General features: G+C 54.2%; 1 long non-coding RNA gene across 1 annotated transcript, besides 4 other annotated features; it reads right to left on the bottom strand.

Annotated features, from left to right (window-relative positions):
- Nucleotides 3102-4058: an enhancer, noted in NCBI's record as "H3K4me1 hESC enhancer chr4:4854855-4855811 (GRCh37/hg19 assembly coordinates)". NCBI's record gives its function as "activates a minimal SCP1, AML or CMV promoter by ChIP-STARR-seq in naive H9 embryonic stem cells {active_cell/tissue: H9 hESC(naive)}" and the evidence as "EXISTENCE:reporter gene assay evidence [ECO:0000049][PMID:30033119]".
- Nucleotides 3102-4064: a biological region, named in NCBI's record as "H3K4me1 hESC enhancer GRCh37_chr4:4854855-4855811".
- Nucleotides 3975-4064: an enhancer, noted in NCBI's record as "active region_21234". NCBI's record gives its function as "activates an Ori minimal core promoter by ATAC-STARR-seq in GM12878 lymphoblastoid cells {active_cell/tissue: GM12878}" and the evidence as "EXISTENCE:reporter gene assay evidence [ECO:0000049][PMID:35858748]".
- Nucleotides 4059-5016: an enhancer, noted in NCBI's record as "H3K4me1 hESC enhancer chr4:4853897-4854854 (GRCh37/hg19 assembly coordinates)". NCBI's record gives its function as "activates a minimal SCP1, AML or CMV promoter by ChIP-STARR-seq in naive and primed H9 embryonic stem cells {active_cell/tissue: H9 hESC(naive and primed)}" and the evidence as "EXISTENCE:reporter gene assay evidence [ECO:0000049][PMID:30033119]".
- LINC01396 (long intergenic non-protein coding RNA 1396) lies at nucleotides 6359-12749 on the bottom strand. The gene is made up of 4 exons (NR_125765.1): nucleotides 12632-12749; nucleotides 10646-10747; nucleotides 9677-9862; nucleotides 6359-6479 (listed from the first exon to the last, which is right to left on the bottom strand). It is a non-coding gene; the product is annotated as a long intergenic non-protein coding RNA 1396 (long non-coding RNA).
- Between the last annotated feature and the right edge of the window lie 4445 nt (nucleotides 12750-17194).

The raw sequence follows: 17194 nt of genomic DNA, 5'->3' as shown, positions 1-17194 counted from the left end.
GGGGCTTGAACTCAGAGAGCGAAGCCGCATGGTGCAGCGGGGGCTAGTGTGGAACTTGCGGCGGTCGCAGTTGAGGAGCGCAGCAAGGCCTGGACTCCGCCGCGGGGGGGGGGGGGGGGGCGGGGGGCCCGGGGGCGGGCGGCCTGAAAAGGGCCGCATCGCTAATTGCGGGGATAAACAATGTGTCACGATTCCTCAGCGCGCCTAATAGGCAGACTAGGATGTTGTTTTAAGGCGCCAGCGGCGGCCGGATCAAAGGCTGCACCCGGCGCACGGGCCCTTGAAGTCGCGCCCCTGCCTCCGGGGAGCAAATCGCCTGGCCCCGCAGCACCGGCCCCGCAGCCAGCCCCTCGGCTTCCCGAGCCGGGTCTGAACGCCACGGTGTCTTCTTTATAGGTTCGGCCTGGGTTCGTGTCTGCTGTCGCCCCGCGCGGCAGGTTAACCGCGTGTAAACGTTGCTAGGCGAGAAGAGTGCATCGGCAGAGAAGGGGGTTCAGACTCAATTCCGTGTCAGAAAAGCGCGGGGCTTTCCCATTGCTCTGCCCCTGGATTGCGAGAGAAAGAAAGGTGCCGGCAGTCTCAAGAGAAAGGAGTCAGATAAAAGAAATAAAATGTCTGCCTGTTTCCCAGGGCGTTGTTTGTTCCCGCGGGAGGAAAGCCACGAGTTACAGGGGCAGTGAGAGGGAGACTTCTCTGAGTTATTTTTTGTCTAGGACTTTACCGATTTCCCGGCCCAGGGGTTCAGCGAGCAGGCAGGCCCTGGGGCTGAGCCTGTTATCTCGCCGCCAGCTCTAACCTCGAGGCGTTTGTACCCCCGGCATTTCTCTGCGCTGCCGCTGCAGCCGAGAAAGCCGGGCAGTAATTCATGCCTGGCAAGGGCAGGGCTGGCCCCAGCAGATAAAGCTCGGGGACTGGCGCTCCGCTTCCATCCTCTAGACTTCTCTCCCCTCCCCTCTCGCTCCATCTCCCCTCATTTTCAGGCATCCTAAAGCACTCCCCGCCCCCAAGTAGAGGGCCTCTGCATTTCGGATCCTGAAGATGGATTATCCTTCGTCTACTTTCTGGGCAACTAAACTGGTGGTGGGTTTAGCTGGTTTTTTTTTTCCCCCAAAATTTTGCGGGGGTTGGGGGGATGGAGGCAGGGATGGTGGTGTTGCTAAGTATACACCACTCCCGTGCAAAGATTAATTTTTAGAAGGACCCCGTCCTAAAGACGGTTATCCCTATCTGGGTATTGCTGCACCGGTTGGAAGAGCCTGGAGGCTGACTTCTCACTTCGGCATTTGTTGTCGCCTCCGTCGGGTTTTTGTTTATGCTCCCTCCCTCTCTTTCCACTGCATTTTGTGACCTCGGCCCAGGAATCCCGCGTGCATTTTTTAAAAATGTGCAGCTCAGTGGGATCCCCCGGCAATTAGCGAGCCCCAAACAGTCCTCTTTAATAGAATGAATGTGCTATGAAAACCGATTACCCGGAACGATTTATTTTGGTGGGAATTCACCAATCGCCAGGAGGGCGACGGAGGGGGAGAGAGAGGAGGTATTTTGTCCCGGGGAGGGGGTGGGGGTTGACGGGCAGACAGAAAGCACTGTCACGGGGTCTCCCAATCTGCGAAGGGGGCCTCCCGACCCAGCCATCTCCACTCTTTTGGCCTCTGTCGCCTAGAAGTGAGGGGCTGGGAGTCAGGTTCAGCAAACTGGGAGTCACTAACTTCGGGAGGACTTCACAGCGTTCCAGAGAAAAACTCCGAGCCCTGAGAACTCCAGGGAGTCTTCAGCTACTGGTTGAAGATCCACGACACAGACCTGGAGAAAAACAGCGTTCTGCTTTCCGGAGACCTAGGCAGAACTTGCGCTTTTCAGGAGTTTTGGTACCTCCTTTTAACAGCGAAGTCAAAATACAAACTCTTTGTGAAAATGTTTCCTCCTTCTTGCTAAATCCTCCTCAAAGTGGGTGCAACTTGTGCGGTGGTACAGTCCGCGTGGAGTGGATTTCACCCGGCGCCAAGGCGAAATTGACAAGCCCCACTCCCGGCTTCTGCCCCCACCCCCCCCCCCTTCCCCCACTGTCTGCTCTCCCTACCGTCCCAGGCCCGGGCTTCCTTGTGTCTTTAAATTTGGAAGGGGGTGAGCAGGACCAGGATCAGCAGGAGAAGAGAGCCCCAGCCTCCCCCCTCGCTTTCAAATGGCCCAAATTAATGTGATCGCGACGTGAGGGTGCACTTGGGAAGATGAAAGGAGAGGCCGGCCGGCTCTCCTAGAGCTCTATAATTATAGATAATATATCCCATTTCAAAGCAATTAGACCAATCAGGCGTAACGAACCACTTTGCTGCTGACGAATAACAAAGGCGCACGGTTATTTAAGCCCGGAGATGTCAGGCAGACCCCGAGGCTCCAGGGTCGACCAAACGTCTTCCATTCTGGCTCTGCCCACCCCGGCGGAGGAAGGCTGGCCCTTCTCCCCTCCAGCTCTGCCCTGCGCAGCCCGCCGTGGGCCCCATCTCAGTTCCGGCAGGGGGTGGGAGGGAATGCGAGGAAGATAACTGACTTGTATTGAGTTGGGTGTCAGGCCCCTTGTCAGAGGTTTCACAAACTTTATCTCTTTATAATCCTCTCTACTCTGTACTCTGGGAGGTAGGTATTATTGTCAGATTTCCCCCCGCTCCCCCTCAGATGAAAGAACAGAATCAGAGAGGTTAAGTGTCTTGCTCAGGGTCACACAGCTAGTTAGTAGTGGCATCAGGATCTGTTCGCAGGTGGGTCTGAACGCCTGGAATCCACTCCCTTCATTCCTGGGTGCAGCCTCTCTCGGGGCGCTTTCAAAAGAGGAAATGCACTAAAATATAGCGAGTAGGGACGATGGCTTACGCCTGTAATCCCAGTACTTTGAAAGTCGGGAAGATCGCTTGAGCCCAGGAGTTCAATACCAGCTTGGGCAAAATAGAGGGACCTCGCCTGTACCAAAAAATAATAATAATAAATAAAATAAAATAAAGGCCAGGCGTGGTGGCGCGCGCCAGTGGTCCCGGCTACTGGGGAGGCTGAAGCGGGAGGATCTTTTGAGCCCAGGAGGTCAAGGCTGCAGTGAGCCGCGATCGCTCCACTGCTCCAGCCTAGGTGACAAAGCAAGACCCTATCTCAAAAAAAAAAAAAAAAAAAAAACATAGGATGCTCTCATGCTCTCAGTATTTTCGTGGAACAGCCTCCCCGTCCCTCCCCCAATCCACGAAATGGGTCTTTGGGCCCGTACTCACTACTTTTCTCTTATGCTCCTCCCCCTCCCGCCCACCACCTTCTTTGGGAGTCCTGAACACTGTCGAGGTTTTCCATGAATTTAGGAAATGTCGAGGATCTCAGGTCTCTCTGAGAAGAAAACAGACCCAGGGCTACGAGCCAGGTAACCAGCCGAGGGTGGAGGGCCAATTTTTCTAAGCCTCTGTTGGTCGTCTTTGAAATGGGCGAGGACGGGCAGGAGCAATGATCAAGAGACTCCGGAAGACAGAGATGCTCCGGCCCAAGAGGCGCGGAGCCACAGAGGGTTGGGGAGGCTCCTTCCGTGGACACGGCGACAGAGAGAACGGAAGACCTCCCGAGGCCTCTGAGAGACCCAGATATGGAGTGAAACTGAAGGCAAGCTGGGGATGCCGAGAAAGGCCAGAGCTGAGGCTGGAAAGGAGGGGCGTCCAGGGAGAGAGTTTCCCCCGGAAAAGCCGCCCCTCGCCCCACCTTCGCGGGGGCAGCTGTCGGGACTCTGCGGGGCTGGGGAGCTGCCTTTCTGTGACAAGGCGGCCCGCGGACAGCCTGGTGTGTGGGAGTTGTCTCTTATTTTTCTGGGACTCAGGTTTGTCCCTGCCTTTCGGCGACATTCCTTTCCTGTATCCTTCTGTCTGCCTGTCTGTCTGCCTCTGAATCTCTGCGCCTAAGGCGGTCTCCCCTCCGAGCGTCTCTCTTGGTCTCTGTGGGTAGGTCTCGCAGCCTCTGTCTCTTCCGCTCTCTGCACTGCTTCTCGAGGCGCGTGGCTCGGTCTCTCTTCCCCTCCCTACCGCTCAGTCGTTTTCTCTGGAAATCTCTTTCTCCTCCCCCGCCCCTCCGCCCAAGTTGAAGTCTGAATCACTGCTGTCAAGTCGCTGAGAAGCTGCTGTGACTCCAGCAAGTTCTTCCTGGAGGCAGTCTGCGATTTCTGGAGCAGCCGGCGCACCTTCGTGAGAAGCAGTAAAGCGCCGGGTCGGCCCAGGCAGGAGAGGGAACTTCCGCCGGCAGCTTATCTCCGCGCCTCCCTTTTCACTTCTGGACCGCGCGCTGCACAATGCACTACCTTCCCCCAGGCAGTCCTGAGGACCCAGGAGCAGTGGCCCCAGGCCGCAGCAGGCCGGGCTGAGCTAGAGAGAGCCAGCCTATAGTGATTCATCCCTGCCGTCCTAGAACACGAGGATGGGAACTGGAGTGTGCGAGCGGGGCAATGCAGAGCATCTCCAGGAGGGGGAAAGGGTCACCGGGAACCCGCAGGCAGCCCACCGCTGGAGGCAGCAGGCAGCGTCTGTTTTCTGGAGGGGCAGCTGGCACAGCTCAGGGCACCCAGGCTGGACCCCAGCACGTTCTCTTTTGGCTGCTGGCTCCCTGTCTTCAGGGCTGGAAGAGCCACAGCCCCTGCCACCTGGAGTTTCTGCCCTCTTCCCTCTTGCGCTTACCGCCCAGACCTCAGCCGGCCCAGGATAGGCAGCAGCAGGCCTACGCCCTGTATCTTTGGGCCTGACTTTCCTCGCCCTTGAGTGAGATGGAGGGGTGTTCACCTTACCGGAGGGCCTTTCTGGGTAGAGAACAGAGGTCCAGAGGAGACGGTGACTGGGAAGCCTCCCACATGCAGTAAGTGCTCAATCAGTGCTCGCTGAGTACGAAGAGAGGAAGGGGAGAGTCCATTGAGTTTGCCTTTCAGTGGGGAAAGTTGGGGAGGTGGAGAACCAATGACCCAGGGTCCCTGTGACCTCGGTGACACCTGGACAAGGTTCTTCCTCCCTTGCCTCTTTCCCCCAGCCACCGCCTCTTGCTCACCACAGCCCCCACCCCAACCTGGGTTTGCTATGGAGAATAGGGCAGTCCTTCCCCACCCCGGGGTGGGGTGTGGGTGCTGTGTGACCCTTTTTGGTCCTTGCACTTTTCTGAGCCAGGGTCACTGACACAGCTGAGACCAAGCTGAGGGACTGGGGAGGGGAGGGGAGGGGCGGGATGTTCATGCTCACTCCTCCGCAGGCCTTCCTTTAGGCCCAGGAGAACAAAACAAAACAAACACAAAACAAAACAAAAAAAACACCGGGGTTGCAAGAAACTAGACATTTGGCGCAACATCCATCCTCCATAGAAAGGGACACTGAGGCCCAAACGGGAGTCATTTTCCCGGAGGTCTCTGAGCCAGAAACTGGCAGAACTGATACTAAGTGCAGGTTTTGCAGCCCCCACTTGGTGCTTATCCTTCCCCGTCCCCAGGAAGGTCAAGATACCTGGGGCATTCCCCAGCCTCTCTAAGCAGAAGCCACCTGTGCCATGTGGCCTGCACCTTCGCGACCTCGCAGAGGGCCATGCCCATTCGTGAGGACTGGGGTGCAAAAGGCTGTAAAGTGTGGGGCACCCTGCAGCACTCTGGCCCGGTAGGTTCAGAGAGCATCTCTTCTGCTCTCTGGTGTGGGAGGAGGCGCCCGAGTTCAGTTCTTGGAGCAGGGGGCGCCTGGAGAAAACCTACTTTGACTACGTGCTCCTCTTACTTGCTGGGTGCTTCACATGCACCGCCAAAGTTAATTCTCATGACAGTCCAGAGGTGACCACCCCACTTTTCAGATGAGAAAGTGGACACCCCGGGAGTTGAAGTGGCGAGGTCCTGGCAGCGCAGCTGTGCATAGGGACCACCAGGACTGGAACCCATAGGTGCCATTGCGTGGTTTCCCGTATACCACGGGCTGGAGGGGGGCTCTGGTTGTAGGCCTTCTAGCCTCTGCATGAGGTGGGTTGGCCCTGGGGCCTGCAAACGTCTCAGACTTTGGTTTTCCCTGTACCACGAAGGTCAGGGAGGTTTGAACTTCTTGGGCCCCCCAGGTCTAGAGTGTTCGCAGGTCCCCTGGGCACGCAGAAGGGGCAGGACAGTGATTCCCTGAGAAGCCCTACCCTCCACCTCACCCCACTGGGCTCTGCGGGAGGGGGTGGGGGTGCCAGCCTCCACCTCTGACCTCAGCTAGTGACCATCCCCAGATCCCAGTTGCTGCATCTGTGTAATGGACCTGCTAAGCCCCATTCTGTCTTCCTCCTTGAAGTTGGGTGAGGAGGATCTGAGTCCGAGGAGTCTGGAAAATCAAGGAGCTGAATACCAGGATGGGAAAGACTATTACTTGTTAATAATAGCACGTATTAAACAATTACTGTTGCCAAGCGTTGTTCTGAGTTCTCAGCATGTCTTCATTTACTTCATCTTCACAGCAACTCTATTTTTATCCCTAGGTTATGCAGGAGAAACTGGAGTTAAACAGTTTATACGAGCAAAAAGGAGCATAAAACAAGACGTCTCCTGGCGCTCGGGATTTTCAGGGATGAGTCCCACTTCGGAGACTCCCTGCTGTGGACTTCCTGATGAGGAAAGGCAGGGAAGGCTGCTTCTCGCTGCCCCAGTGCCAATCCCTGTGTGTGGCCATGGGGTGGCTCCTCAGAGTGAGCCCATATGGGTCCCTGAGACCAGTACAAAGCCTGACATAAAGAGGGGACCTCAGAGGGGGATGAATGGCTGACTACCAGGCAGTCAACCCTTCATCAACCAGGCTGGGCTCCTAACCCAGAGCACCCCAAACATATGGGCAGCTGCACCCGGGTGGTGGGTAAGGCCTGAGGGCAGAGCCTGGGGGTTAGGGTTGGGGACAATCCATTGGAGTGTTGGTCCCAGGTTTCTTGAATGACATTTTAAAAAGAAAGCTGAAGTCACCCCTCTTCGGTAGCTTATTCTCCTGTGTTTAAATTTCCTTTTTTTTTTTTTTTTTCCAGACAGGGTCTCACTCTGTTGGCCAGGCTGGAGTGCAGTGGCACAATCTCAGCTCACTGCATCCTCAACCTCTTGGACTCAAGCGACCCTCACACCTCAGCCTCCTGAGTAGCTGGAACCACAGGCTCGAACCACCATACCTGGCTAATTTTTAAAAGTATTCGGTAGAGCCTGGGTCTCACTATGTTGTCCAGGCTGGTCGCAGACTCCTGGGCTCAAGCGATTCTCCCACCTTGGCCTCCCTAAGTGCTGGGATTACAGGTGGGAGCCCCTGAGCCTGGCCTAAATCTCCTTTGCACTTGAAGATGGGTCTAGCTACCCCTTCCTCCACTGAAAAGGAAGCTGAGGCCCAGAAAGGTCAGGCAACATGCTTGGTGTCACACAGAATGATCTGTGTGACCTCCAAGCCCAGTGGCTGTCCCCACAAGGCAGCCTTCCCCTGCCCAAGGCACCTCCCACAGCCGCTTGCTTCCTCGCCAGTGTCCAGAGCTGGGCTGTGGGAGTGGAAGGTGGGCTGAGCATCCCCTAGGAAGATGTGGCAGCGTCTGTCATCCAGTGGCCCCGTCTTTCCAGGAAGGCCAGGTTTCCCTCCCTGGGTTTTCTGGTGGAGGAGAGAGAATTATTCTCCTGACAGCCTCTCCCCAGTCTAGGGTTCTCCCAACCCCCTCTAGCTTCTCCTGTCCCAGCCAGGGTGTAGGACCACCCCATCTGATGGAAGATTCCATCCCTGGGGAGACCCCCTATCTGATCAAATGCTGGACCCTTGGCCACAGTCCAATTAAGTGAAAATAGATCCAGCCTTATCAGATTCAGGCTGTAGTCCCTGGGGTGGTCCCCTCAGCGCCCGGAGGGTCCCTGTCTCTTTGACTTTCCTGCTCAGACACACTTGTTTAAACAGACCCCTCAGGGCCTTCAGTAACCTGAGCCAGCCTGGAGGGCAGTTGCCAGGTAAGGCACAGCGGTTCAGATGGTGGGTGGGGCAGCCAAGAGCACAGAGGAGGCAAAGGTGGTGTGGGGAGAGCAGGGTGAATCCACTCTTAGAACACAGAGGAGTCTCTGGAGCTTGCTCCATGGGTTCAAATCCTGCCCCCACCCCTTTCAGCTTTGTGGCCTTGGACAAATTACTGACGTTCTTTGGGCCTTGGTTTGCCATTATGGTGAGGATTCAATGAACATGAACACTTCTAAAGTTCTTGGAGCTGTGTGGGCACAGACTCAGGGCTCAGTGATCTGAAAATCCAGGTGCCCAGCAAGTCCTTTTTGCCATCACAACAGCCCCGGAATGTGGTTACTCCTGTGCTGCCCTACAGGCGAGAAAGCCAGGGGCCAGAGAGGTCCAATGACTGAGATTGGCCAATGTCTGGAGACTGTGTCCCCACCCAGGCTTGTGGCCCCAGGCAGGTGTTCTTTCTATCCCACCAGGCCACTGAATAGCTCTTAACTCAGGATCTGAGTCAGGATCCAGCACCTGCCCAGTGTAGGCAGCGGCAGAGCACAGCGCATCTGGGGATGTAAGTCCTTGGCCTCTTCCTCCTCCCAGTCCCGAAGTCCTGGGCCTCAGGTCTCTACAGGAGCCGTCCTCCCTTCTCCGCATCTCCCGTTCCCTGCCACCTCCACCACCATGTCTGGCTCAATCCAACAGTCACACTCTTGGATTGCAGTTAGACCCACATGCCAAGCACACTCCTGCCTCAGGACTCCCGTGTGGCTGTTCCCTCTGCCTGACATGCTGTTCCCACAGATATCCTCCTGATCCCTCCCTTCAGGGTTTCTGCTTAGTGGGTATGTCCTCAGAGAATGCTTCCCTGACCACCTTCACTAAAATACTAGACAACCCTCTCCCCAGCCAGGCAATCTTTTCCAAAATCCTGCTTTAACTTTCTCCAGAGTATGCATTGCCATCCAACATTTTATTATTATCTCTGGTTAGTTGCTTATCTGTCTCTCCCCATTAGAACTTCAGCCACATGTGGACAGGTACTATGTTTTGCTCATGGCTGTCTCCCCAGTAGTCAGCACAGAGCCCAGCACATAGTAAATAATTAATAAAAAATTTTAAAAAGAGACTGGGTCTCGCTATGTTGCCCAGGCTGGTCTCAAACTCCTGGGCTCAAGCGATCCTCCCGCCTTGACCTCTCAAAGTGCTGGGATTACAGGCGTGAGCCACCGCAACTGGCCCAATAAATATTTTTGAATGACTGAATAAATGTCTCACATACGCACTGTAACTTCATGGCCTCTATAGCCTCAGTTTTGTCATCTGTAAAATGGGCCTAATAAGTCTGTGCATCTTATATTGTTGTGAGGAATAAACTACAGAAAGCATGGGAAGTGCATGGTGCAGTGCCTGGCACCAAGGAAACCTGCAGAACTGTTTTTTTGTTGTTTTTTTTTTTTCTGACTAAAAAAGGTGAGTGGACTTTCCAGAAGTTTTCTGCTCTTGAGTGGAGTTAGTGCAGCAGGGTCAACCTTAATTCCAGGTTTTTATCATTCACTCCAGAAGATAAAGCCACTTCCCATCCTGTATTTTATCTGAGCCTTTCAGTGACTCTATGAGCTGGCCAGGAGATGTTTAGGTCTTTTTGTAAGTGGAAGGACAAGGCCCAGAGAGGTCAACACACTAACCCAGAGGTCACACAGCTAAGCAGCTCTTTCACATACCTGAGAGAGCTCTCTTGGCCCTACTCTAAGTTCTCATCCAGGGACTGGAAGCTTGCGGCTGACATCTTTGGATCTTACCTATCTGAGAGGGCAGGTTCCAATAGGCTGACACCTTCAACACGGACTGGTGCCAGGCAGTTTCCCTCAGAAAGACTCTGAGCTAAGAGCGGCCCTGGAGATGTGGACCTGGAGGAAGGGTCGGGATTTGGCCAAGCTGAGTGGAGGGGGCTAAGCAGGTGCAGGTGAAAGGACAAAGGCAGGGGGGTGGAGGGTGCAGGATATGCAGGGTGTGAGTGACCCCAAGGCTCCGGCAACCCTCCCTGCTTCTGACACTTCTACCAACTCAGCCTTTGGTCAGAGGAGGTCAGGGGGCCGTTATGGGCTTCCATGGACTCCATCTCCCCTGTAATGATAGTCGTTGCAGCTGCCTGCTCAAGCCTTCATTTTCCTGTTTACAAGCTTTCCAGAAAACAGAAGTAAGCCCAGCACGCCCCTCCCCGTTTCCTAGGCAGGAGTGCCAGTTCTGCACTCTGGGTGCAGACAGCAAACCCTCCCTGGGACTCTCCTGGGGATGGCAGTGATCTTGGTAGCCCCCGGTTGCCTGTGGTGGGGGTGGGGGGTGTTGTGGAGTTTCTGTCTTGAAAGGCAAATTTGGGCTGACATTTAGGCTTTGCCTTCACAATTCAAAGACAGGTGGTGAGAAGGGAAAGCAGAGGTGTGATGCTGGCTCAGTGTGAGGCACTGTTAGTATCTCATTGAATGTGTCCAGCAACCCTGATACCCAGGCACTATGAACCCATTCAATAGATGAGAAAACAGAGGCACAAGAGTCTGTGGTCTATGGCAAGAGTCCTCCTGAATGGTGTTTGCTTCTCGCATGTGAGGAACGTGGAGAAAATTAATGGCATAATGATTACCACCATGAAGCTTCCAAACACCTACTAGGGGCAGGCTCTTTACACACATTACCTTGGTTAGTCCTCCCAGCCACATGGGGTTTACATCACAGTCTCCATCTGACAGATGGAGAATATAATGGGGGTGAATAGTCGCTCATCCAAGGTCATTCAACTACTGGAAGAGAAGGGAGGACTTTAGCCTCTGAAAGAGTCTCCTCCAAGAGGAAGCTGCCCCTTTGTAGGGAAGACTAGGCAGGCTTGTGAAAGTACAATGAAAGGAAACAAACATTTTTGTTGCCTTTTTCCCTGGCAGGAAAAGCCCCCTGGGATTGCCCCCTCTCCACATGTGCAAAGATATCAAAGGCGGGACAGAATTGCTCTGAAATCCCAAGCCAGGGGCTGGGTCTCCCCTAGGGAGGGAGCCGGGATGAAAGGGAGAGAGAGGGAGGAAGATGGAGCAGGAAGAGGAGGAAATGAAGGCGCATCAAAGCCACCCGCCTCCTGGATCCACCGGGGTCTGCTGTGCCCTAGTGGGGTGGGGGCCTAGGTGGGGTTGCCACCTTCAAAGAGGAACCCTTGAGGCGCTCAGCCTACTGCTACTGAATGCAAGGCCCTAAGATGGGGCATTCAGGGCCTCCCAATGAGGGCTTTTAAAAAATCAGCGCTTGTGGCTAGGTGCGGTGGCTCACACCTGTAATCTCAGCACTTTGGGAGGCCAAGGGGGGCGGATCATCTGAGGTCAGGAGATTGAGACCAGCCTGGCTAACATGGTGAGACCCTGTCTCTACTAAAAATACAAAAATTAGCAGGGCATGGTGGCACACGCCTGTAGTCCCAACTACTCAGGAGGCTGAGGCGGGAGAATCGCTTGAACCAGGAAGGCGGAGGTTGCAGTGAGTTGAGATCACACCACTGCACTCCAGCCTGGGCGACAGAGCAAGACTGCACCTCAAAAAGAAAAATAAATCAGCGATTGTGATAATGTCGTATAATTAACAATCTTGCCAAGTGGGCCAGTGCTTCACTGACTTGATGCCATTCACTTTATTTATTTATTTATTTATTTATTTTGAGATGGAGTCTTGCTCTGTCACCCAGGCTGGAGTGCAGTGGTGTGATGATCTCAGCTCACTGCAACCCCCGCCTCCCAGGTTCAAGCGATTCTCCTGCCTCAGCCTCCCGAGTAGCTGGGACTACAGGCCTGCACCACCACACCTGGCTAATTTTTGTATTTTTAGTAGCGACGAGGTTTCACCATATTGGCCAGGCTGGTCTCAAACTCCTGACCTCAAGTGATCCACGCATCTTGGCCTTCCAAAGTGTTGAGATTACAGGCGAGAGACACCGTGCCCGGACCTCGTTCACTCTTTCCCTCCAACCTGTGACGGGGGGCATCGTGGTCCCGTAGCTCTGGGAGAATGGGGCAAGTCGTTCAGCATGGTGGGATCCCCACTGCACATCAGGGTCTGTGTGACTCCAGGGCAAGGGCTCTTTGGCCCCACCACACGAGACTTGGAATCGAAGTTGTCCTGTTAGGATGCATATTCATTTCCTAAGGTGGTCCTAACAAAGTACCACAAATTGTATGGCTGAAAACAGCAGTAATGTGTTTTCCCACAATCTGAGGGCTGGAAGTCTGAAACCAAGAGACTGGCAAGGCCGTCTCCCTCTGAAACCCTGGGTAGAGGCTTGCCCTGCTTCTCTGGGCTTTGGTGGTGGCCAGCAATTCCTTGGGGTTCCCTGGGTTGTAGCTGCTCACTCCAGTGTCTGACTCAGTCTCTCATGGTGTTCCCTTGTGCATCCCACATGGCGATCCCTCTGTGTGTCTGTTTCCACATTTCTGTCTTCTTGAAGGACAGCAGTCATATTGGATGAAGCGTCCACCTACTCCAATAGGACCTTATCTGAATTTGATTACTTCGGCAAAGACTCCATTTCCAAATAAGGTCACTGTTCCCAGGGGTTAGGACTCTCATATATCTTTTGTGGCAGGGGAGGGTTGGGGGGGCCACAATTTAACCCACAACAGGACAGATGCATCTCCCCTTCTACTCACAGGCAGCTCTGTGGTGCCACTGGCCCCCCGCTCTGAAAACCACTGGCTCCAAGTGAAATAATGGAAATGAAAACTCCCAGGTGCCCCAGTTCCTTTAGATGTTGTGGCCCATTCACGTCCTTTTGCAATGCCCTCATCCAATTTTGTACACTAGCCGGACGGGCATCATTATCCCCACTGTACAGATTAGGAAACCGAAGTTTAGAAATGTGGCATGGTAAAGCTTAAAGCTGAAACAATATCTGTTTGACTTCAAAACCAACCACCATCCCCCCATTCCACGAGGGGTTGGGGTGGGCAGGCAAGGGTTAAGGCTGAGGAGGAGGTGGGCCCTCCAGGCCCTGCTGGCTCCCGGAGCGCTGAGTGTGATGCTGGTGTCCGGGTTCTGTCGGTTGCCGGGGTGCTGATTAAGATGTCACAGAAGATTATGCTGTCAGGTGCAAGAATCACGCTCCAGGAGGGGTGGCTGCTGGGCCGGGAGGGAGGTTACCCTAGCAACGGAGACGGAACATCCACGCAGTGCAGCGTCCCAGCCTGGTGAGAAGGGCTTGGGGTTCAGCATCACCTGTCCTGGATAAAAAATTTGGCTCTTTGGCCCTGCAGCTGGGTAACTGTGGGTAAAACAGTTCACCTTCTGAGCTTCTTGGCCTCATCTCTGAGATGTGGGAGTCATTCCATCCCCCTGTGGATCAAATGGCAGAGCCAGAGAAAATCCCACGTATCTGCAAGCATCTGCCTCATGGCAGTTCCCTGGGAACCCCAGGCAGGCATTAGCTCAAGAGCTGAGGCCCGGGCATGGGCAGGCTTGCCCAAAGGTGGCAAAGCAATGGTGCCAAGTCACCTTGCTGCCGGGACTGAGGTGCTGGGAATGCGGGGTCACCTGGTGATGGGGGGGCCTTGTCTGCAGCCTTCTTTTTACTAATTAGTGGGGGGATCAGCAGATCCTCCTCCGAGTCTCCTAAACTTTCTGCACTAAATAGTGTTGACCACAGCACATAGTCACTGTCTATTCAGTTGTTGTATTTCCTATTCAGCCGTGAAACCTGTCTCTTTAGATGCCCAAAGCTCAGCATACAGCCCAAATGCATGTTGAAGTAAAGGAAAAGATGAATGAAGGTGTTTGCTCACATTCCCCCTCTATTCCTTGGAGTAAATTTCTTCTGTCATTGAGGAAGAAATATTCTTTCTCTCTTGCAAAGCTACTCTTTCCCCATGTCCTTAATTCTGATCTTATTTTCCCAAGTCCTGGCTTTCATTCACCCACCCACCATCCACCCGTCTCTCCACCCACCCATCCAGGCAGCAGACAGTGGCTGAGTGTCTCTGAGCCACATCCTGTGCTAGGCCAACAGGGCCAAGTCACACTGGGATCTTGGTCCAAACTAGTTCTCACTCAGCCTTGTAGAGGTGTGGGGGCATGAACCCAAATCCGTGTGATGCACAGTAGAACTCACAGGCTGTCTCGGAGAACGGGACATGGCAGAAGAAGGAGAAATTATGTTCCATTCAGAAATCAGGGGAAGCCAGAGCAGACAGCGACCTCTCTTTGAAGGAGGAGGATTTGGGCACAAGAAGTGAGCGAAGAAGCAACTGGGAAACACCCTTGTCTTCCACAGCCCTCACCACATCCTGATGTCTCCTCTCCTTTGCAGAGCCCTCACATGGGTTCAGAGAGGTTAACTAACTTCCTCCAAGTCACCCAGCTCATAAGTGGTAGCGCTGATTGGAGAAGCTCGAATGTTGATCTTCACAAAGGCCTTCCTGGACCACTTCTGTGTATCTCACTTGGCCTATTTTCGGTCGCTCCCTGTCCTGTGTCTTTTGTGCCTCTCCACTGCTGGAAGGCCGGCTCCACGATGGCGGGGGGTGGGGGTGGCCTTGCCTTGCCTCTGCTCTGTGCCTCGCCCCTGGAAACTAGTGGGTGCTCAAAGACATCTTTCTGAGATGCTGTGGATGCACCAGTCCCTGTTCTGACCCAAAGGACTGTTACCTGGTCCCCAACCTTCTTTCCATTCCTGGTAGCCGTCTCCTTGGAGGTCTGATCTGCCCTTACCACTCATCTACCTTTTAACTCTGGCCCCTTGGCTCCGCAGCTGGGCCCCTCAGCCAAACATGGTTCAGGCTCGGTGTCTCCTGGCCAGGGCTGGCATCCTTGCTGCACACTTCTGATCATCTCAGGAGCTGCATACCTCACAAGCAGATAATTGAAAAGATTACCCTGAGATGGAACTCTTGGAGGCTGATTTATTGTGCGTCATCCCTACTTCAGGGTTTTTATTAGAAATTGAAGAATGGCTTTCCAACTTGAGGCTGTGTTTAACCTCCACTAGTCCTGCAAACCAACAGTGGCTCCCAGGGTGGCTGCAAAGTCACTGCGCACCAGAGCTCTGCCCTGCAGCAGCACCCTTGAGTGGCTCTCACCCCAGAAACAGAGCCTCTCCTTCCTTTCTTTCTTTCTTTTTTTTTTTTTTTTTTTTTTGAGACTGAGTCTTTCTCCGTCACCCAGGCTAGAGTGCAGTGGCGCGATGTTAGATCACTGCAACCTCTGCCTCCTGGGTTAAGCAATTCTCATGCCTCAGCCTCCTGAGTAGGTGGGATTACAGGACAGGCGCCCACCACTACGCCTGGCTAATTTTTGTATTTTCAGTAGAGACAGGGTTTCACCATATTGGCCAGGCTGGTCTTGAACTTCTGAACTCAGATGCTCCACCCACCTCAGCCTACCCTCCTTTCATTTCTCCCTCCCTCCTTTCTGTGCCTGGGGGCCTTGAGAGAACTGGTTAAGACTGGGCACTCAAGCTAGACTATCCAGGTTAGTGGGACGGGGAGGAGGCTGGACCTAGAACGCAGTGTGCTGCAGTGGAGGCAAATATTATGTGGAATCCACTCTGCTCTGGGAAGCCCTCCTTAATTCTGCTCTTTCCTATCTGGAAGTAGTCCCTTTCCCAGGTGTGTCCAGAGCTCTTGGCTGGTGCCTATGTCTGCAGCACCCGCCCTGCTCGCCTGGCACTGGAGTGGCTGTGTTCACTGTCAGTCTGTTCCTTCTCCTTTAGGGCAGAGGCTCCGTGGTCTCTGAGCACAGAGGCCAGGAAGTGGGGGATGATACCCGGTACTAGGGAGGGTGTGGGGTGGGGAGTGGTTAGATGATGTATTGGACCTCATAGGCCAACAGGAAGATCAGCTGGGGATTGGTCCATAATCCAAGCGAGATGACCCCACACGTGAACGCAGCGTTTAGCAACCAGGTGGCTTTGGGCAAATCGCCTGACTTCTTCGAGCCTGCTATTCCCCATTTATTTCTACCATGAGATAATAGCACCCACCTTACTGGGCCAGCAGCATGGGCATCACCTGCCAACTTGAGAGGGACACAAATCACTGGGTCCACCCCTGACCTGCTGAATCCAGAACCCTAGGATGGAGCCAGCAGCCTGTGCTGAGGGAGCCCTCCTGGAGATTTCCATGCACACTCAAGGTTGCAATCCACTGCCCTGGAGCATTGCTGAGAGCAGTACAGGAGATAATGTGGGTGTAGCAGTTGGCAAAGCGAGGCACACGGGGACTCCGGGGTCCCTTCTTCTATGCTGAGATGATGAGGCCATGAGTATGCTTCTGACAGGGAAGACCTGGCCCGAAAGAAGTATGTGTTCTGCAGCCAAGGGGCTGGGGGCTGCAGCTCCAGATGCCCACAGAGCAGCAGAGTCCCCCACTCCCTCCCTGAGGTGCATCTGGGGTTCAAGGAAGGAAATGCAGCCCCAAGGGGAGGACCCTGGTGGGGACTCATGCAGTTGGTGATCCTCCACGTTGTATTTGGTTCATTCCTGTTCACTTAGATCTGCCTTCCCCTAGAGAGACGGACAGGGCATGCTGCTGCCCTCAGTAGGGCTAGGGCCAGGGAGATGTGTAGTTAACTGATACCAGACGCCTGGGGAGGAAGGGAGGGAACGACTGTTTCTGAGTCCCCACTGTGGACCAGCGACACAGGGAGAAGGTCATGTGACGACAGGCAGAGATTGGAGGGTCGCAGCTACGAGCCACAGGATGCCAAAGACTGCAGCAGCACCGAGGCCAGGAAAAAAGGCCCGGGCTGGATCCTCCCCTCAAGCCTTCAGAGAGATCAGGGCCCCATCAGCACCTTGGTCTTGGACTTCTGGCCTCCAGGACTATGAGAGTAAATTTGTGTTGTTTGAAGCCTGCCCATGTGTGATACTTTGTTATGTCATCCCTAGGAAATGAATTCAGATTTTGTTTTAGTCCCTGAGGAATGCTGTAAGGAGGGTATATGGGTCCCCATTAAACAGATGAGAAGGCTGAGGCTCAGACAGGTTAACTGCCTTCCCCCAGGTCACTCAGCATCAAGGGGGCACCAGGATCCCAAATGGACATGCCTGTGTCCCAACAGTGCATGCTCCTGGGGTGACGGTAGCTAACAACCTCCCCTGATCCTGAGACCCTCTTCCTCCTCATTTCCACCCCTCCCTGCTCTGCTGGGTATTTCTCAGGGCCCCCTCCCCACCCCCACACTTTAGTGTCTGCACGACTTGAAAAATCAGTGCGTAGACC

This window comes from Homo sapiens, chromosome 4, assembly GCF_000001405.40.
Source record: "Homo sapiens chromosome 4, GRCh38.p14 Primary Assembly".
NCBI lineage: Eukaryota > Metazoa > Chordata > Mammalia > Primates > Hominidae > Homo > Homo sapiens.
The sequence above is the reverse complement of the archived record's forward strand: the minus strand, read 5'-3'. Positions and strand labels throughout refer to the sequence as shown.